General features: G+C 35.6%; 2 pseudogenes; one reads left to right on the plus strand and one right to left on the minus strand.

Annotated features, from left to right (window-relative positions):
* LOC100422188 (UDP glucuronosyltransferase family 2 member B11 pseudogene) lies at positions 17,494 to 19,631 on the plus strand (annotated as a pseudogene).
* APOOP4 (apolipoprotein O pseudogene 4) lies at positions 21,374 to 22,138 on the minus strand (annotated as a pseudogene).

The raw sequence follows: 22,834 nt of genomic DNA on the forward strand, positions 1-22,834 counted from the left end.
AAGCACCTAAGCCCACTGGGGAGGTAAGTGAAGGCTACGTGAAAAAGGTACTGTGTGACATGAGACTTGAGACTTGAAAAATGAGTGTGAGATTGCCAGAAGGAGAAAATGAAGGAACACATTCACAATAAATAAAGAGCAAGTGTGAGAAAGGGAGAGGGAAGCAAAAGAAAAATACATTATCTTAAAGAAACATTGATGTCACACTGAAAGTGATATGTAGGGCAGGGCAACAGGGAATTGAGTGGGCATGCTGGAATCAGAGGAAGGACAGGCCACACTTTATCATGAAATATATTATCATTTCATAATAAAGTTGTCAAGTATTTTCTCATAGAAAATGCAGTCTCTCATAATAAAAGAGGTGTTGTTATTTTTCAGAGGCAGTAGGGGAGATAGGTGTAAGACTGCAGAACAAAGGACAGTGTGACAATCCAGGAAGTTATCAAAAAATCCTCTGTGATATGTAACTGCATTTGAAATAAGGTACTTTGATTCCGGCCATAAAGAATGTGACTCTGGGTTAAAAAGTGCCATCCCAGGCTGAGCACAGTGGCTGATTTCTGGAATCCCAGTGTTTGGGAGTCTGAGCCTAGAGGATCGCTTGAGGCCTGGAGTTCAAGACCAGCCTGGGCAACATAGTGAGACCCTGTTACTACAAAAAAATTAGCCGGGCATGGTGGTGTGCACCTGTAGTCCCAGCCACTGGGGCGGCTGAGAAAGGAGGCTCACTACTGTAATCTATGATTGTACTACTATGCTTCAGCCTGGGCTACAGAGCAAGACCTTATCTCAGGAAACAACAACAACAACCCCTTAAAGTATGTCTTTTCCTCTCTAAAACTAGAAAATAAATATGAAGAAGTTAATTTTATTTTTAAATTTTTTATTAATAAGTGTTTAATAAATTATTTCCTGTTTATTATCACTCTGGCTATTACTCATGTTTTCAGTATTTTCTTTTTTCATGTCTTATGAAGACATTCATTCTGTGGGATCCACCTATGCCACTGAGTATTGGATCTTAAGGTATTTGGTTTCCTTCCAAAAATACCTTATTGACAATACCTTATAGCATGCAGGAATTCTAAAGAGATTAAGAGATCGCATAGTTAAACGCCTTTCATATGACAGACAAGGAAATGAGGACAAGACAGGGTGAGTAATGAGAACTGTTAAAACATTGATGTAAATAGGAATACTCACATTTCTCGTACTTACTTTTATATTCAATTAAGGTATGAAATGTAACCTTGATGTTTCACAAATAGTTTCTTAAACAAATGAGATTATCAATGACAAATTTAAATATTTAAGAAAGAGTTAAACATCATTATAATTGTAATGCAAAGAATTGTAGCAAATTTCTAATGAGCTATACTTGTTTTTGTTTTATGTACCTATTTTTTATATTAGCTCTCATTTTCCAACTTAATATAACCTCTTAATTTTTTTGAGTTGTGCTGGAGGGCATTGACTTATATTATTTGTTCTATACATTATTTTATTAAAGTTTTAAATATTTTAACTTACAGAAAAGCATGTCTATGAAATCATCTGCTTGTGAGAAATAAAATAATTCTGATTTTTAAAAAGTGTAACTTCTTTTAGATGACAAAGTATTAAACACTGCTTCCAAGAAAAATCTGAAGTGGTAATTTAGAATATAAATTTCGAGTATCATCATGATTGCTGAGTTTGAAAATCCTTCAAATGTTTAATCAAAAGACCAATCTTAATTCAAAAGTTATTACTTTTGTAATAACTGTTTAAAAAATTCAAAATTGTGATGATGCTTAATTTTGTTGAACTGACAGTTAACACTTTGATGATGTACTACAAAGCATTAACGTCAGTGATTAATATGATTTCATATAGCCAAGTCATTTCCATGCCCAGGCCCAAAATAAGGTACTGATTTTGGAATTCCCAAGATCCTTATAAACTGAAGTACCATAGACAATTTTTTTAACTTTTACTTGGTATATGAGTGTTAGAGTTAATTCAAATTTTCAGCAAAAAAATTAGTATAGGTAATTAGAAGGCAATAGCAGACAGAAAATTTAAAAAGTAGCTCACAAATACCTAAAGACCAGAGGAGTACTCTATACATTAGAAAATACATTACTAATATATTTTTTGAAGTTGAGGGCATCTGAACCTCTTCCTATGGTATGCTTGCTTCCACTTTACTGCTTCTTATATTCCCTTCTTCCTCCATTAGGAGAAGGCGTTTATTGGAAGCAGAATCTTTGTGAGGTCACATTTTATAATACACAGGGTTCATCTTAAGGGCAGGATTCCATCTTCACCCTTTCTCTTACTTCTTCCTGCTTGAAACATTGGCAAGCTCAGGTTCACCAATTCAGGCTGGTTTTCTCTTTCTCTAAATCTACCTGGGTTGGTTGGTACCTAGACTCAAAGTTAGTGAGCCCTGAACTTTTTTTCTCTGCATACTCCCTGAACAGCACACTGAATAGCTCTGTTCCAACATTTCGGTGATGTAAAAGAGGCAGGGATAACATGGCAAGCTTAAACTGTGATGCGATTCAGAGGCTTTTAAATGCAAGCTTAGGGTTATTTTGCTAGTACAGGGGCTCATTAAATTTAACTTTTTTCTAATAACATCTGTAGCATTTCCAGTGTCCTCAGGAATGCTGTGAGGAAAAGGAGGAAATAGACGGGCAGAATTTGGTGATTTCTCTGTCCCTACCTGTAACACAAGTATAATATCAACTGTATAATATGCTATACCTGTAAAGATTTTTATTTCTAATCACAATGTTAATGCCAAAGTTATCGATAAAAAACAGTTATCTTAGCATGTGCCAAATATATATACGTATATATAAACCATATATATGTTTTTAAGTGCTTTCTGAGATAAATTAGAGCTATCCAACAGTCTACCTTTTACAGAGGTGATTTCTACAATCAGACACTTTATAGACTCATTCAGTAGCTGTCTTCAATTAAGGAACTTCATCTAACATTTTGTGGGATCTGGGAAAGTGCTGATGCAATCACTCTGACCTGTTCTTCTTTCATGTTTCTAATCACTGATCCCACAGAAAACACCACCAACACCATTTTTCTGCAGAGCTGAGGACCACATCTTCCATTTCCTTTGAAGAAAGAATTTTCTCCATCACAAAAGAGTAAGACCACAGCAAACGCTATAGAAAGGATTGATACAAATAACTTAGAAGATAAATTTTATATTACCAGGAATTAATAGAGCTTGGCTATTTTTAAAATGACTTAATCACTCAATTTCTTTGGAAGGAGTTGTGTAATCTGAAATAGATGGCCTCTATTAGGCATATTATGTAAATGTTTGTATGTGTGTATGTGTAAGAAAGAAACGAAATAGAGCTAGTATATAATAGTCAGGGAGAGATAATGTTAGACAATAATGTACTCAGATGCCTAATTTATGTTACTAATTACTAATATAGATTCCTGAAAGCAGGCATCACAGCTAGTTCTAAATTCAGTTTTAATTCTATCTTGTTATACTTTTACCAAATCACTTGTGTTTATTCTATGTAAGTTTTCTGGAGAATACTTTTAATTTGGAGTCATTTGGCTTTACTTGTCTGACTACAAGCAGTGTGGAAAAGTTACTTGTGGTTTTGTCATCTCTATGATCTTTTATAACTCACCTTAAAAATTGCAGGAATTTCTTAAACATTTCCCCTAAAATACCTCTTAAAAGCTGGAGGTTAAGAGTTGCTGACAGTTAGAAGTCTGGTATTCTGGCTTGCAATTTCTGTGAAATAGTCCTAAGAGTTCTGCTTATATCCAGAACAATACTTGTATAATACCTATTAGAGTGAGCCTTATTTCTGGGCTTCTTTAACTTTTGCACTGAAATCATACTGTAAAATTGATATCCCTGTAGAATGTGCTGTTTGTAACTGGCAGTGTGGGACCCTCATCATTACCTACCTCATGGGGGTGATGAAAGGATGAATGCATTAACTTGGTAAAGCACTAAACTTGTACATAGCAACTTAAATTTGCATTTATTTTAATTATTATTAAGTGAAGAGAAAAATTTCCACAATGATTCTAGTTCTTACTTTCATTACCTAATATATTTTTTAAATGTAATATGTTTCAAATACAAATGATAAAAATACGAGCATATGCTACTTCAAAAGTAGGAATTAACTTTATGGTATAAACTGAGGGCTGGTAAATTGAGGCCTTTGGGCCAAATCTGACCAACCACGTGTTTTTTTTAATAATTGAGGTAAAATCACATACAATAAAATTTCATTTTATTTGTTATAAATAATATTATTAATAACCCTTTTAAAGTGAATAATTCAGTAGCACTTAATACATACACAGTGTTGTGCAACTGTCACTACAATCTAGAATCAAAGAATTTTCATCCCCCTAAAAGAATATCTGTACACATTAGACAGTTACTTCCCATTCAACCATCCCCCAGCCTGGTAACCTGGCATTATGTGTTAAAATCATTCTACTTGCTATTAGAAAATCAAAACAGAAACAAACAAAAAACCATACAGCAATATACCTTTAACAAAGTGAGGTTTTTTCCTTAATTTTCACATATGCTTAATTATCATTTTCTGATATGGAAATATGTACTTTTAGCTCCCTGATTGCTTTTTGCTACAATATATGCAGACAGTAGAGATATTTTACAAGAAAATCTTGTACCAGTCACTTTCCAAATGGTATCATGGCATGGGAAGTCCCATGGACCAGCTCCCAAGTAAAACAGGAGTAACTAGTGATTTTTTTTTTTAAATAATTTGCAGTCTCTAAGAATTGTCCTAAGGACATACAACAAATAAAGAAATATGTGCTGAAGAAACTCCACTATTTCTTGGTGAAATTAAACCACAACATGCTCATTTGTCCACCTCCTAATTCATGGTAACAGAAACTCCATCATTCCAGAGAGGTATAAACAATACCACAGGGCTCCCACTTTTGAAGCTCCCAGTTGAGGACTATGGTATCTTGTTGGGAGGCAACGTTGCCCTGAATTTTTCATGCACATACCCAAGTATGTGTTACAGAGGCTAAATTCCAGGCAAGTGTGGCTAAGAAGGATCTCCCATATTCCATCCAGCCACTGTCATAACACAGATGTTCTATTCATGAACACTGAGTACCAAATAGCCACTATCCCAGTTGGAGATTCCATGAGAGGAGAGGAAAACTGAGAATAAAGGCCAAAGTAGAAATGCACCACTGTCCATGCCCCCAGTCCTATAGTCAAGGTCAAGACACTCTGCACAGGGGAGAGTCAGGCCATAAACACAGAGCTACAAATGTTTTCCCAAAGGAACTTACTTTATTTGAAACAGTGTGAAAATTGTAATCCTAAGAGTGCTCTGAAAACACGGAGGCTTTCTGGTAAATAATTAAGAGGAAGCTGTTAGCTTCAGAACACATAAATGCTAAGCCACAGGCAAACTAATTTATTAGAGGAAACCAAAGATACAGATTGAAAAAAATCTTCCTGGGGTCTGAGCAATGATCAAATACTGACCTCAAAAACTATCGCTGCAAAAGAATCACTGAATTTTATTGGATCAGACTGTGGAACAATTTATACTCTCAGGCCATTATCAAAAGTAATAGAGCACTCAATCAGCAACTTGTGAAGGCTAACAGCAGGGTTCAGCCGTAGAAGAGGCAGTCAAAGAATGTCCTCCTGCAACCACCATTATTACAGGACATGTGAGCATACCAAGGCTGCACCCTTGCATAGCAATATCAAGCTTAACACTGCAAAGGAAAGAGGCTTCGCTAAAATAGTCCATCTAGTCATCAGCCACAGATTAAAATACACAGAAAGAGGATATCTAATATCTACAGTTGCTACAATCTATTATCAAACATGTAGAGTTTTTAACACAAATTTAAATGACATGCTGAAAAGAAATCAGGAGAGTATGATTCCCACGTGAGGCAAAAGCAGGCAACAGAACCTGCCTGTTTAAGAGACAAGGTGTTGGATTTAATAGGCAAAACCTTCAAAATAATCATTATAAATATGTTCAGAGACCTAAAAGAAGTAATACTAAAGAGGAAAAGCAGGTATAGTAACAATGCAGTATCCAATAGAAGATATATGGAAAGTGATAGTAATTATATTTTTTAAAAAGAAGCAAATGGAAATATTGGAGTTGAAAACTGCAATAACTGAAATTAAAAAAAATTTACAAGAACTCAACAGTAGATATGAGATAGCAGAAGACAGAGCCAGCCAACTTGAAGGTAGGTCAGTAGACATTGTGTAACCCAAAGAACAGAAGATAGAAAATAAAGAAAAACGAAGACAGTCTTACAGAATTTTGCGACAATCTTAAGCATTTCAACATACACAAAGTGAAAGTAATAGAAAAGGAAAAAAAAGAAGAGAAGGGAACAGAAAAAAACTTACAAAAATAGTGCCTAAAGACTCTTCAAATATGATGAGACATTAATTTACAAAGGCCAGAAATACAACAAATTTCAAGTAAGATAAACACAGAGATCCAATCACAGAAACATCATAGAGAAAGACTGAGGGTAAAGACAGAAGATGGCAAAGAAACAAGAGAGAAACAGCTCATGACGTTCAAGGGCACTCCAAAATCATGAATAGCTGACTTATCATCAGAAACTATAGAACCCATAAGGCACTAGCATGTCATATTCAAACTAATGAAAGAAAAAATTCAACCTAGAACTTTATCTACCACAAAACTATTTTCCAAAACTGAAGGAAATAAAAAATAAAAAAAAAATACATTCCCAAGCCAACAAAAACAGACAACTTGTTGCTAGCAAACCTGTCTTATAAGAAACACTAAAAGAAGCTCTTCAGATTGAAACCAATTAAGCAAGCCTAATCCACACAATAAAGGAAAGAGCACCAATAAAGGTCATTATACAATTATAAAAGATAGTATAAATCTACATTTCTTCTCCTTTTTTCTTTGAACAAACTTCAGAAGGAAGTATATAGAGCATGTATACATACAGTCATATCGTTGGGCATATCACCTATAAATATACATGTCTGTCAATAACAGCACAAAAGAGATGATTGGGAGCAAAGCTTTGTTAGAGTAAGAAATGGCAACAAATAGCAACCTGAATCCACAGGAACGAATAATGAGAACCAATAATATTCTGATTTATCTTCAGATTGTATAAATCTTTCACCTTTCACTAAAGAGAACCAATAATGGTAAATAATATGATTAGTATAATCAAAGATAAAAATATATACTTGCTCTCCAAATTGTTTCCATTTCTAAAAAGACATACAATTATATAGTGTCATAAAAACAATGTAATGTTGTGTTGGTAACATACATAGATGCAATATCTATAACAATAATACCACATGTAACACAAAGAAATGATAAATGCTTAAGGGGATAGATATCCCATTTAATTTAATGTGATAATTATACATTGTATGCCTGTATCAAAATATCTCATATACCCCATAAATATATATACCTAGTATTTACTCATAAAAGTAATACTAATATCACAAAAATGGGAAGAGACTGGAACTATATGTGAATAATGTCTCTACAGAGGACAGAGATTTAAGTCAGTATAAATCTGAAGTTGATTCTGATAATTTACCATATATATCTGGTAAGCCCTAGAGCAATCACTAAGGAAATAACGATGAAAAATAGTAAAATGGAACATGTTCACTTAGTGCAAAGAAATATATATTTAAAAAGAAGAAAAAATTAAATGTATATATATGACAACAGTAAACAGCAAACGTAAATTTAATCATAATAAAAACACCACATGTAAATGGATTTTAAAAATCTAGTCAAAAGGCATATATTACAGACCATATTTTCTTTAAATCCAACCATATGCTACATAATAGGACACACTAGAAATTCACATATACAAATAGGTTAATATAAAAGGATGGAAGGAGATATACAAGGAAACAGCAAACATAATAAAGCTGAGGTGGCTATACTTATTTCAGGCAGGTAGATTTCTAACCAAAAATGTTAGTAGAGGTGAAGAAGGACATTTTACAATTGTTACAGTATAAATCCATCAGGAACACATAACAATAATAAGTATATGTGCATCTATTAACAGAGTTCAAAATACAGGAGGAAAAACCATACAGAAATGGAGAAACAGACAATCCAAACAATAATAATTTGCAAATCTGTAGTAATCAAGAAAGTGTGGTACAGGCATCAACAGAATTGATTTTTAAATCCAGAAGAATTATTGGAAGAATATGGGTTTGAACTGTGCAGGTCCACTTACACACAGTTTTCCTTTCACTTCTACTACCCCTGAGACATCAAGACTAACCCCTTCCTCCTCATCATCCTCAGCCAACTCAACACAAAAATGATAATAAAGATCTTTATTATAATTTACTTCCACTTAATAAATAGTAAATATTTTTTCCTTTTTATAATTGTGTTAGTCTGTTGTCATACTGCTAATAAAGACATACCCAAGACTGTGTAATTATAAAGAAAAGGAGGTTTAATGGACTCACAGTTCCACATGGCTGGGGAAGCCTCACAATCATGGTGAAAGGTGAAGGAGAAGCAAAGGCATGTTTTACACGGCAGCAGGCAAAACAGCATGTGCAGGGGAACTGCCCTTTATAAAACCATCAAATCTCATGAGACCTATTCACTATCATGAGAGCAACACAGGAAAAACCCACCTCCATGATTCAGTTACCTCCCACTGAGTCCCTTCCACAACACATGGGGATTATGGGTGCTGTAATTCAAGATGAGATTTGGATGGGGACACAGCCAAACCATATCTTTCTGCCCCTGGCCCCTCCCAAATCTCATATCCTCACATTTCAAAACCAATCATGCCTTCCCAACAGCCCCCCAAAGTCTTAACTCATTCCAGCATTAACTCAAAAGTCCAAGTCCAAAGTCTAATCTGAGACAAGGCAAGTCCCTTCCATTTATTAGCCCATAAAATCAAAAGCAAGTTAGTTACTTCCTAGATACAATGGGGGTACAGGCATTGGGTAAATACACCCATTCTAAATGGCAAAAAATGGCCAAAATGAAGGGGCTATAGGCCCCATGCAAGTCTGAAATCCAGGGGGGCAGTCAAATCTTAAAGCTCCAAGATGATCTTCTTTGACTCCATGTCTCACATCCAGGTCATGCTGATGTGAGAGGTGGGTTCCTATGGTCTTGGGCAAGTCTGCTGCTGTGGCTTTGTGGGGTACAGCCCCCTTCCCTGCTGCTTTCACAGCACCACTAGGCAGTGCCCCAGTGGGGACTCTGTGTGGGGGATCCCATCCTATTTCTGGTACCAATTTACTGTATTAGTCCATTCTCATGCTGCTAATAAAGACATACCAAGACTGGGTCATTTATAAAGAAAAAGTGTTTTAATGGACTCACAGATCCACATGGTTGGGGAGGCCTCACCATCATGGTGGAAATGAAGGAGAAGCAAAAGCACATCTTACATGGCAGCAGACAAGACAGTATGTGCAGGGGAACTGCCCTTTATAAAAGCATCAGATCTTGTGAGACTTACCATCACAAGAACAGCACAGGAAAAACCCACCCCCATGATTAAATTACCTCCTGCTGGGTCCCTCCCACAACATGTGGGGATTATGGGAGCTACAATTCAAGATGAGATTTGAGTGGGAACACAGTCAAGACATATCAATAATTTTCTTAATAACATTTTCCTCTAGTTTATTATAAGAATACAGTAATAACATATAACATAAAAAATATATTTTAACCAAATTTTTATGTTATTGGAAAGGCTTCTGGTCAACATCAGGCTATTAGTTATGTTTTAGGGAGTCAAAGTTATATGCAAATTATTGACTTCCTGGGAGATCAGTGCCCTTAAGCCCCACATTGTTCAAGGATCAACTGTACAGCCATATATTATGGTCAATTAATTTTTGACAAGAATGTCAGAACTATACAATAAAGAAAGTACAGCCTCTTTAAAAATGTTGGTGGGAAAACAGATTTGCCCCATCAAAAGAATGAAATTGGATCCCTTTCTTCAAACCATATACAATAATTAATTGAAAATAAATAAAAACCTACATGTAAGAGCTATAACTATAAAACTCTAAATATAAAAAAAGATAAATATTTGTAACATTTAATTTGGCAATTGTTTCTTAGATATGACACCAAAAGGAGAAACAACCAAATTAAAATGAACGAATTGGACTTCATAAAAATTAAAACTTATGTGCATCAAAGAATACCATCAAGAAAGTGAAATGACGAGCCACAAAATTGGAGAATATATTTACAAACCATATATCTGATAAGTTACTTTTATCAAGAAAATGTAAAGAAAATTTAACATTCAAGAAGAAAACAACACAATGAAGAAGTGGGTCGAATTATTACTTTAGGTTTGAAAGTTATGGAAAAATGCTGTTGTGGCCAATGAAATATAATCAATGGAGCAATTTAAAGACACTACTGAATGAACTTGTTTGGATAGTTCATGAGGATAGTTCATGAGGTTCTGACACCTTCATATTTCATTACCCTTGATCTCGATAAACTATTATTAAATTTGAAATTTTTTCTACATCTTATACTAGAGTTGAACTGGAATTTTTTTTTTTTTTACCAAATGAGTCAGGAAATGGGTGTATAATTTGCCAAAAGACACACATTGAGCATATTTTCCATTACTGCAAAAATGTTCTGGGGCGAAAGTTCTGATTACTTTGAAAAGTTCTATAGAGATGTAGTTCTGAACAAGAAACTTATGACAAACTACAAAAATCAAAGTTTGACATTACTATGGTTTAAATGTGTTCCCTTCAAAATTCAAAATGTTGAATTTCCATTTCAAAATTCAAATGTTGCCAATGTGACAGTATTGAGGTAGACCTTTTAAGAGGAGATTAGGCCATGAGGGCTTCTCCCTTGTGAATGGGACTAGGTGCCCTTATAACAGAACTTGACAGTGACAGTTTGCCCCTTTTTGCCTTTATGTCTTTATGCCTTCTGCCAAGAGAGGACACAGCATTCCTCACTTCCAGAAGACTCAGTGTTCCAGGAGCCATCTTGGAAGCAGAGACCAGAGAGACCCTCACCAGACAATGAATCTACTAGCCCCTTGATCTTGAACTTTCCAGCCTCCAGTACTGTGTGAAGCAAATTTCGGTTCTTTATAAATTATCCACTCTCAGGTATTTTGTTATAGCAGTGCAAATGGACTAAGACAATGTCCTTCTTGGAGATGCCAGTGGTCCCTGTGGTGAGTTGCTGTCTGAGATACTTGAAATGTCCTTTGTGTATAGTCTCTGCTTCTCTCTTGGCTATACATTGAAAAAATATAGGTGAGGACTTTGATTCCTTCCTTCCTATATATCCGTTGTTATATCTGAATTAAGTGGTAGAATGAAATTTATGGAGAAGGTAAAAATATGATATATGTGCTTTATTTTGACTTTTGGTTCCAAACGTTTTATGAAAAGAAATGAGATCAGTTTTACAGAGAAATATTAGGTACGCTGTTTTTATACGGTAGCATAAACATTCAACTTTCTTTGTGCATTTGAAGGTGAGCTTATATGAATATAAAATCAAAGAAAGTTTCCTTTTTTTTTTTTTTTTTTGAGGCAAGAGTCTCGCTCTGTCACCCAGGCTGGAGTGCAGTGGCGTGATCTCAGCTCACTGCAAGCTCCGCCTCCCGGGTTCACGCCATTCTCCTGCCTCAGCCTCCCAAGTAGCTGGGACTACAGGCGCCCGCCACCACGCCCGGCTAATTTTTTTTGTATTTTTAGTAGAGATGGGGTTTCACCGTGTTAGCCAGGATGGTCTCGATCTCCTGACGTCGTGATCCGCTGACCTTGGCCTCCCAAAGTGCTGGGATTACAGGCGTGAGCCACTGCGCCCGGCCAAAAATCAAAGAAAGTTTTCTTTTATAGGTAAATAAGGAAATGAAAATATAAAATGATCTATCAATCTGATAAATATTCTGAAGGGGCTTACATTATAGGGTCAGTTAGAACCCTGTGGCCATCACTCATACAAGACACTCTAAGAAATCATAACTCTGCAAATTGAAGCACCTAGGATTTCTTTCGGAAATTACAGATTCATTTAATTATAGTTTTAGTTTTATCTCTAAATGAACATAGATGCATACGTTGACTTACAAACATATTTCTAGCACAACTGTCTATATAGTAATAAGAAAATTGTTTTCTCTTTCCCTACTTAGAAATAATAAATATCACACACACAACACATAGAAGTATACAGACAGACAAAAAAGATCTAGTAATTGTAAGATTTATCATTTGCCAGTTTGTAAGTTTCTCTTTAAAGAATGCAGTTTCTAGGACCTAATAAGCAGGCACAGCTGGAAGACAAACAGATCCCCCAAAATTAAGGGTCCTATTTTTATACTAAAACCTGGATCCCCAAAAGAGGGAATCAGTCCATCTCCCATAAGAGTCTTATCTCTCAGTGTGGGGCGATGACATTTCCATGTCTTCTAGGTGGCCAAGAGCATGCTTCTCTGATTTAAACGTGCAAAGAGCCATGTATTCTCATATAACAGCTATTTCCTTTTCCCAAAAGGGTATTTCCTACCTAGTTATAAAACACCAAAGCTCTCTCATAATGTGAAGTAATTTCTGATACCCTCAAAAGTCAAAACTGTCAAATAACGCAATGTAAAGAGAACAGAGCCTTAAATTTTGAAAGGAATCTATCCACTTCTAATTCCTGGGGTTTCATGAGGAAAAAACAGATTTTCTCCAAAAGAGGGTCTTTGATTCCTCCTCCGTTTTTCCCAAGGAGTCCCAGGCTATTAGAACTGGAATAAGCTGACTTTTAGTCCTTTTAAATCTCTGATTACCAGATGTTAGCCATGCCAAATCACCAATATTTCTGGCTTTTAAATTTTACCAAAAGTAACCTCCTAGGTGCTCAGAGAAAAAAAATTCAAGATGGGTCATGGAGGGAAAGAGAATTAATGAATAGTAAAGGTCACACAGATAGCAACCCAGAAAGTACTCATTCCCTAAGCCAGGAATTGAACCCTGAACCCCGGCCACCGCTATGAAAAGACAAAGCCTTAGCTGCTGACTACAGCATTGGATGGTTTCCATTGTCCTTCCCAGAAGGAGCCTATAGCAACAAATTTTGAGCTTGCAATGGCTTTTAATTGCACAAGATAGTTTTTAGGGCTAACTATGACATGAACCCCAAAATTACTGTTCCCTGGAAGGCAGAGATGAAGAGAAAGTATCGCCATGTGGCTACAAAGTCAAGCTCCCAAGGACATTTTCAACATGTGGTCTCTGGACAAGATGAAGTGGCAGACTGTTGCCCACAGTAACAGAAAAAATAAAAAAAAGAAAGGGAGAAAAACATTGGCTATGGCAGGGTGGGGAAGGTGAGGCACTCAGGGAGGCCAAAGACCCACTCAGAGCAGTGTCACTGAATCGAAAGTTCAGGCAGCCTCTTGTCAGTAGGGAAGGGATCTTTTCCAGCAGTCCCATCAGCTCTGAATTTTCCACTTTTAGGGAGAAAAACCTCCCCATGTCTTTTGATCCTGCACATACCTAATCCTGTCACCCATAGCAATCAGCAAAGAGTACAATACAGATTAATCCAAACAGAATAGTGGTTAACATCCCATAGTGCCAAACCTGTTCTTAGCCAAGAGGGACTTTACCGAGAGAGAGGGCTCTATATCTCTAAATCTTAGGAAGGACTCTAACCTTCCCAACTTGGGCCTCAAACCCAAGTTCGGTCAAACATCCTTGCCTTTTATTAAGCGGGGTCTTTAACCCTTTCTGTCTTAGGAGAAACTCTAACAACCCTAAGTTGGGCCTCTAACCCAGTCGCATCCTCTACCTGGGTAAATGCACCCCATTTATTCAAAGTCGGCCAATCAGTGCTGCAGTCTATTTCCTTTGAGTTGGGGGGTCTCCTCAGTATGGTATCTTCATGGTTTGCCAGAAAAGGGTCCTGACCCAAACCCCAAGAGAAAGTTCTTGGCTCTCACACAAGAAAGAATTTGGGGCGAGTGCACAGAGTAAGTGAAAACAAATGTATTATGAAAGTAAGGGAATAAAGAATGGCTACTCCATAGGAGGAGCACCCCTAAACTTTTTTTTTCTTTTCAACTTTTATTTTAGGTTCAAGCTTTACATGCTCAGGTTTGTTACATGGGTAAATTGTGTGTTGCGGTGGTTTGGTGTACAGATAATTTTGTCACTCGGGTAATGTGCATAGTACCCAATAGATCGGTTTTTGATCCTCACCCTCCTCCCGCCTTCCACCCTCAAATAGGCTGCAGTGTCTATTGTTCCCTTCTTTGTGCCCATGTGTATTCAATATTTAGTTCCCACTTACAAGTGAGAACATGCAGTATTTGATTTTTGCTTCTGCGTTAATTTGCTTAGGATAATGGCCTTTAGCTCCATCCATGTTGCTGCAAAGGATGTGATCTCATTCTTTTTTATGGCTGCATAGTATTCCATAGTGTATATTTACTGCATTTTCTTTATCCAGTACACCACTGATGGGCATCTAGGTTGATTCTACGTCTTTGCTGTTGTGAATAGTGCTGCGATGAACATACATGTGCATGTGTCTTTACAGTTTACTAATTATATTTCTTTGGGTATGTGCCCAGTGAGATTGCTGGGTTGAATGGTAGTTCTATTTTCAGTTCTTTGAGAAATCTTCAGAATGCTTTCCACAGTGGCTGAAATGATTTACATTCCCACCACAGTGTATAAGCGCTCCCTTTTCTCTGCAATCTCCCCAGCATCTCTTATTTTTTGACTTTTTATAATAGTCATTCTGACTCGTGTGAGATGGTCTCTTATTATGGTTTTGATTTGCATTTTCATAATGATTAGTGATACTGAGCATTTTTATGTGCTTCTTGGCCACATATATTTCTTCTTTTGAGAAGTGTGTGTTCATGTCCTTTGCCCATTTTGTAAGGGAGTTGTTTTTTGTTAATTTGTTTAAGGTCCTTATAGATTCTGGATATTAAACCTTTGTCAGATGCTTAGTTTGCAAATATTTTCTTCCATTCTGTTGGTTGTCTGTTTACTCTGTTGATAGTTTCTTTTGCTGTGCAGAAGCTCTTTAGTTTAATTTGGTCCCATTGTCAATTTTTGTTTTTGTTGCAATTGCTTTTGGAGTCTTTGTCTTGAAGTCTTTCCCAGGGCCTACATCCATAATGGTATTTCCTAGGTTTTCTTCAAGAGTTTTAATTTTAGGTTTTACACTTAAGTCTTTAATCCATCTTGAGTCAATTTTTGTATATGGTGAAAGGTAGGTGTCCAGTTTTAATCTTCTACATATAACTAGCCAGTTATCCCAGCACTGTTTTTGTCAGTGTTGCCAAAACTTAGATAGTTTTAGGTGTGCAGCTTTATTTCTATTTGGGCTTTTTTCGGTTCCAAAGGAACATTAGAATTTTTTTTCTAATTCTGTAAAAAATGTCATTGGTGCTTTGATAGGAATAGCATTGAATCTGTAAATTGCTTTGGGTAATATGACCATTTTAACAATATTATTTTTTCCTATCCATGAGCATAGAATGTTTTTCCATTTGTTTGTGACACATCTAATTGGAAACACATCTTGTTTCCTGAACTGAAACACTTAATATTTTATTAATGACAATACTGCCCCAAATGATATATAAATTCAATGCAATCCTTATAAAAACCACAGCTGACTTCATAGCATAAATTGACAAGATGATCCTAAAATTTATATTAGATATTTAAAGGACCTAAAAATAGCAAAACGCTCTTAAAAAGAACAAAGTTGGGGGACTTGTACTTACTGATTTTGAAGCCAACTGTAAATCTACAGTAATAAAGAAAATGTGGCATAGGCATACAGATAGATGTATAGATTGATCGAATAGGTTTTAGAATCCTGAAATATACCATATGTTAATGGTCAACTGATATTTGACAAGAGTGCCAAAGCAGTTCAATAGGGAAAGAGCCTAGTAAACAAATGTTGTTTGTGTTGACAATTAATAACACGTGTTGTCAAGGATGTGGAGGAATTGGAATCCTCATACATTGCTAATGAGACTGGAAAATGGTATGGCCACTTTGGAAAACAGTCTAGTAATTCTTCGAAAGTTAAACATAAAGCTAATATGTAACCCAGCAATTCCATCTCTAGGTATATACCCAAGAGAAATGAAAACATGTCTACACAAAACTTGTACATGAACATTAATAAATAACATTATTCATGATAGCCAAAAACTGGAAAAAACTCAAATGTCCATTAACTGATGAATAATAAACAAAATGTAGTATATCCATAGTATATAACATTATTTGGAAATAAACATGAATGAAATCTTGATACTTTAACATGAATGAGTCTTTAAAATATTATGAAAAGTGAAAGCCAACCACAAAAGACCACGTATTGTATGATTTCATTAGTATGAAATATCGAGAAAAGGAAAACCCATAGAGAGATAGTACATTAGTGTGTGGTTGCCTAGAACTCTGGATATGCAGAAATTGCATAGGGTGGAGGTTGACAGCTAATGGTAAAGTACTTCTTTTTGGGAGATGAACCTGTTCTAAAATTATTTTCTGATTTTACAAGTCTGTTAATATACAATGAGACATTCAATTGTACACTGATATGGTTTGACTGTGTCCCCACCCAAATCTCACCTTGAGTTGTAATAATCCTCACATTTCAAGGGTGGTGCCAGGTGGAGATAATTGAATCATGTGGGTCGTTTCCTCCAGTTTCCTCCATACTGTTCTTGTGGTAGTGAATAAGAAACATGAGATCTGATGGTTTTATAAATGGGAGTTCCCCTGCACAAGCTCTCTGTCTTGCCTGTCACCACGGTTGTGAGGCCTCCCCAGCCATGTGGAACTGTGAGTCAATTAAACCTCTTTCCTTTGTAAACTACCCAGTCTTGGATATGTCTTTACTAGCAGCATGGGAACAGACTAATATATACACATTAGATTGGTGAATTGCATAGCATGTGAATTATACGTCAAAAAGTCATGACTAAAGTGTTTTTATAAAAATAACTCTAAAAAATGCTGATTCATCCATATAATTATTTTATCTCTAGTTCTGTGTCAAGGAGACTGAAGACAAAAGAGCCTCTCTATTGCCACTACTTTTGGCAGTATACTAAAATACATCACATAAATGCGACGACTTGTTCATGCAAAATCATTGATCTTAGCTAGATGAAAGCACTTAAAAACATAAAAGAGACATTAAATACATTTGTGTAAACACAGGGTCATCTACCTTTTGTTTTTCTATTTGCCATTGACATGTTCAGACTACTTATATAATGTATTTACTTCGAGGTGTAAGAGTTATATTTTAACTTCCGGATTGATTTATCATTGCATAAAAACAAAACGTAAGAATGGCAGAGGGAACAACAATTTAAAAAGAAGCATTGTATTTTATCAAGATGGCTATGAAATGGACTTCAGTCCTTCTGTTGATACAGCTGAGCTATTACTCTAGCTCTGGGAGTTGTGGAAATGTGCCGCTGTGGCCCATGGAATATAGTCCTTGGATGAATATAAAGACAATCCTGGATAAACTTATGCAGATAAGTCATGAGGTGACTGTTCTAACATTGTCAGCTTCCATTCTTGTTGATCCCAACATAACATCTGTTACTAAATTTGAGGTTTATTCTATATCTGTAATTAAAGATGATTTTGCAGGGTTTTTTTTCACACAACAGATTACTAAATGGATACATGATCTTCCAAAACATATATTTTGAACATATTTTTCATTAATGCAAGAATATTCTTTGGGAATATTCTGGTTATACTGAGAAGTTCTTTAAAGATGTAGTTTTGAACAAGAAACTTATGACAAACCTACAAGAATCAAGGTCTGATGTCGTTCATGCAAATGCCATTGGTCCCTTTGGAGAGCTGCTGGCTGAGCTATTAAAAATATCCTTTGTGTACAGTCTCCACTTCTCTCCTGGCTACACATTTGAGAAATACAGTGGAGGATTTCTACTTCCACCTTCCTATGGAGCTGTTATTCTGTCAGAATTAAGTGGTTCGATGACATTCATGGAGACAGTAAGAAATATTATATATGTGTTTTATTTTGACTTTTGGTTCCAAACATTTGATATGAAGAAGTGAGACCAGTTTTACAGTGAAGTTCTAGGTAAGTCATGTTTTTAATTGGTGGTTATTAAGTCCTAACTTTCCCTGTGCCTTTAGAGGTGAGTTTGCATGAGTATAAAATCAGAGGAGTGTGTTTTTTGTAAATGAAATGATGAAGTGAAAATATAAGATGATCAATCAATCTCACAAATACTATGGAAAGCCTGACATTAGTAAGTTAGAACTCTGGGACCATCAATTGTACAGGATGCTCCAGTAAGTCATAATCCTGCAAATTGAACCACTGAGGATTTCTCTAAGCAATTACATATCCATCTTACAATGCTTTTATTTTGTCCTTAAAATAGTCATTAGAAATTTCAATAAATGTCTTGATGAGAGCAGACATGTAGATTACATATACATTTCTACAACTATTTATGTAGCATTAGGACATTGTTTCCCTTATGTAGCTTAGTTTCCTAATTTAAAAAATTAAAACATTTTTCCATATTACTATTACTATGAGGATTTCTTCATATTTGAGTGAATAGTGTCTGTCCCAGATGCAAAAAGCTATATAATTTGAGGTCTCTCAGACTTCCACATTCCTTCAACAACTGCTTACAAGTCATATATTTTAAGGCCTAAAATCTTGTTGAAGAGTGAACATGTAATTATTAGTTTATATTTTTAAAACTATATCTTTCCATTAAAGAAAATATGAATCTAAATAAGGCTGAGCACAAATCACTATTTTAATAATTTGTAAAAATTTTCCAGCTGTTACTTTCAATATCAATATTATTAATAAACTAAAATTATTAGTCACCTATTATGAATCAAATACAGTAGTAGCTACTAGAAACCCCAAAACCTTACAATTCATTTGGAGAATCAAAGATTAAGGAAATAAATTGCTTCCTAAATTGTAGAAACTAGACTGAATACTCTTGAAAAACATGGCTATGGCTATGGTAGAATTAAGTGATGGTGGATTTCAAAGAGTTTTTAAATTTATAATGGTTACTTTTGTATTTTAGAGAGAAAACAAATCTATGTTTAATTCTACAGTGACTCGTTTTAATAATCATTCATGATTGTGTATATACCAATGTGACATTAGAGTCTACCCACTTTACTTACATATGTATGAACAACATCTATAAAATATATAAATTATGTATAAATATGCACATTTATATTTGCTTTAGCAAGTCATAAAAAATTTTGGCTACATTATTTCAAATAATTTTAGAAAATTACCTGGCATATTCACATGACAATTTTATTTCTTTTGCCTTTCCCCCCCCTTCAGGAAAATGCACTACAATTATCTGAGATAATGGGAAAAGCTGAAATGTGGCTCATTCGAAACTACTGGTATTTGGAATTTCCTCGCCCACTCTTACCTAATTTTGAATTTGTTGTAAGACTCTACTGCAAACCTGTCAACCCCCTGCCTAAGGTAAACCTATTCCTAGTTGTTTTATTCTTTTTGTTTTGCATTTTCAGGGGGAATGACTGTATTCTTCGTTCAGAGTGTTTGTCTCATGGTAAGACAGATATGACAAGTGAGGAAAGTGACCTGCCAATTAGAAACTGATATATTTCTTTTCTGTACCATCACAAGTATGTGAATTTCATTACCATTACAGAATAACCTGAGATACCTGGGAGACTTTGAGAGTATAGTCAGTTAACTTAAGGTGTTATTATTCAACACATAAGAATCAATTATTCATTTAAAGAATATAGTGACTAAAATATACCAGAAGTGCCAGATTTGCAAAGAAATGAAGTAGACATAACTTCTGCCCCCTATACATCTTATCTTCTGTTGTGAAAGATAAAATATAAGCAAGTAATAAAAATTGGGTGAAAAGTGTCATCTTAAGGAAAGACCACAGTGCTAACGAAGCATTTAGAGATTACAGACAGTATCTCCACGTCATTAACAATTAAGGTAAGCCCTAAACAAGGTGGAGGGACAGGTGAAGGGATGAGAGGGAGAGGAAGAAACATAAAGAAAAGCAGATAGAGAAGTAAGGACAGTTCCCAAAGACCCTAAGTTTAGTTCTGCAGGAAGAGGCTGAGTAATGAAGCAGATGATGCTGGTGAGGTAGTATAGAGCCAGATAATTATAGGAGTTTGAACATATGTTAAGGGGATGGGGAAGACAGTGAAAAGAGTTAAACAAAAAAGGAATATTATCAGATTTCCTTTTTAAAAAAAATCTCAAGCTTTAGTCACTGGGTTGATTGTAGAGGGGCAAGACTATAGAAAGGGGAATCACTCTAAAGGGAACTTTTGTAAGAATGTTCTTACAAGAGTTCAGGCAACAGGTGACAGAAAACTAGATTAGAATGTTCATAGAGGCAAGACGCAATGGCTTACATCTATAATTCCAGCACTTTGGGAGGTGGAGGCAGGAGGAGGGCTTGAGCCCAGGAGTTCGAGACCATCATGGGCAAAAAAGTGAGCCCTTGTTTCTAGAAAAAAAATGTTTAAAAGTTAGCTGGGTATGGTGGCACATGCCTGTCATCCTAGCTACACGGGAGGCTGTGGCAGGAGAATCACTTCAGCCCACAAGATCAAGGCTGCAGTGAGCTGTAATCATGCCACTGTATCCTAGCCTGGGCAACGGATGGAGACCTTGTCTTAATAAAAAAAAAAAAAAAAAAAAAAAAAAAAAAAAAAAAAAAAAAAAAAAAGTTTATAGAGATGACTACACCTACTCATACAATAATAGGCCAACCTCATATTGTGTTCTGTGTGTGGGAAAAAATAGTTAACATAGATAAAACACTTGAAATATCTCTGGTACATAGTGATCCAGAGTAATATTGACTCTTGCCATTATTGCTGTTTTGTTTATATTACTAATACTATTAACTAATTTGTGCCAGACACTTTAGATATTATTCCTCATTTTATAGAAACTGGTCTTCTAATAGATTAACATTGTATTCTCAACCAAAGTCCTAGAGAACAGATATCCTGTGGATTGCTTTAAAAGTCAATGTATGGATCAGATGAGCAAGTGGAAATGCTAAAATTGTATTGGAAAGGTTGAGGCTTTTCACCTGTATTTTAGCTTTAAAGAAACACCATTCCTCAAAAATATAAGTATATGACTTCAACTATATTTGCAGACAGAACTAACATTTACTTTCTTTCTTTTTTTAACTTGGGTTTTAATTATATACGTATTTTTTCCTGAAGAAGAAAGCCATTTTAATACATTCAATACTGACTTATCCTCCATTTTTCTGTAGAAATAGTGATTTATTGTATGGAGTTTCCAGTGTTTACCTCTATCTGATTAAAATGGGTAGAGCAGGGAGTTTTCTACTTAGTTCCAGGTGAATTCTTCACATTTCCTGGCTTTTAAAAGTTCTCCTTCCACAAATCTTCTATTACTATATATCCGTGTAAACCCCAGTCATATAATCTCTCCCCACTGACCTTGGCAAACACGATGGCTTGTTGTGGATAACAGGTGGAGGCAGCTAATCCCATGAAACCAGGTGGACACACTAGCTTCTTTATTTTTGAACCTCTAGCCAAAAAGAGTCCATTAAGGCCAGCAAAACCAATAACACCAAGTCTTGGAAAAAATCCAGGAGGTGCATTTTAGAGATACTCATAGCTGTCTAATCCCCACTGAACCAAACTTTGCATCTTAGGCTTAGTTTGGGAGTACGTTTCCTGACACAAATTTCTATGTGGCTCACAATAGCGTCGGAACTGTGAGATGCCTACTTCAAGCTGGCTCCTTGACTCTTCCACACACTTCGATTGACCCTCGGGAACTGAGTACAGTGAAAGCTCATCAACCTTCATGGGATTTTGAGGAGGTGAGTCCTTTTTTGGTGCTGCATAGACTTTGAAGGTGAACAAGCGTAGGCTGGTTGGCCTCACGGACCTCCGAATTACCTTGAACATGTCGCTGTCCGTGGTGGCTCTGGCAGGATTTACTTTCTTTTATTCCAGTTTTATTCCAGTATTTCTTTTTTTAAAATTTCTTTTATTCCAGTATTTCTTTTTTAAACCTATTCTTTCTGAAGATCCCAAACTTTTACATATTAGAGAATACAATGGTGGTTTACCTTATGAGAGGAAGTGTTTTCTGCCTTATGCCCAGACTAATAGTACACCTCAGTAAAGCTCATTTTGGGAACATGTGTCTTGCTATATCACAGCTGCTTGATAGAGAAGCATAGAAAAATGTACAGTGCATGTATAATAAAGACCAAATAATTTCTACCACTTGTATCAGTTCTGTCAGTATATAGGATGATATTCCTTATGAAGGAACACAAGAGTCAACATATTCTAACTTAATATCATACTTTTAAGATATAAGCAGAAAGGAAGCATTCTTTATGTACTATATGATCTAAGATATTATTTTTGTCTATGTTCTTATTGGCAGCAATATAAAAGTGAGATCTTATTCAAGTGTTAAGACTCAAAGTCCATTTTGACTGCAAATTGTTTAGGCTGTATACAGTAACTTTCACAAGGTAAAATAGCTGAGGTAGGATTGGTAGAATTTCTAACAAACTAACTCCTATTCTTGAAAGATTTCTTCATGCATATAAAGGGAAAGTGATAATGTTGGCAAGGAGGGAAAAAGAGGAGGAGGAGAAGGAAGGCACAGAGAAA

The sequence above is a fragment of the Homo sapiens genome, chromosome 4, assembly GCF_000001405.40.
Source record: "Homo sapiens chromosome 4, GRCh38.p14 Primary Assembly".
NCBI lineage: Eukaryota > Metazoa > Chordata > Mammalia > Primates > Hominidae > Homo > Homo sapiens.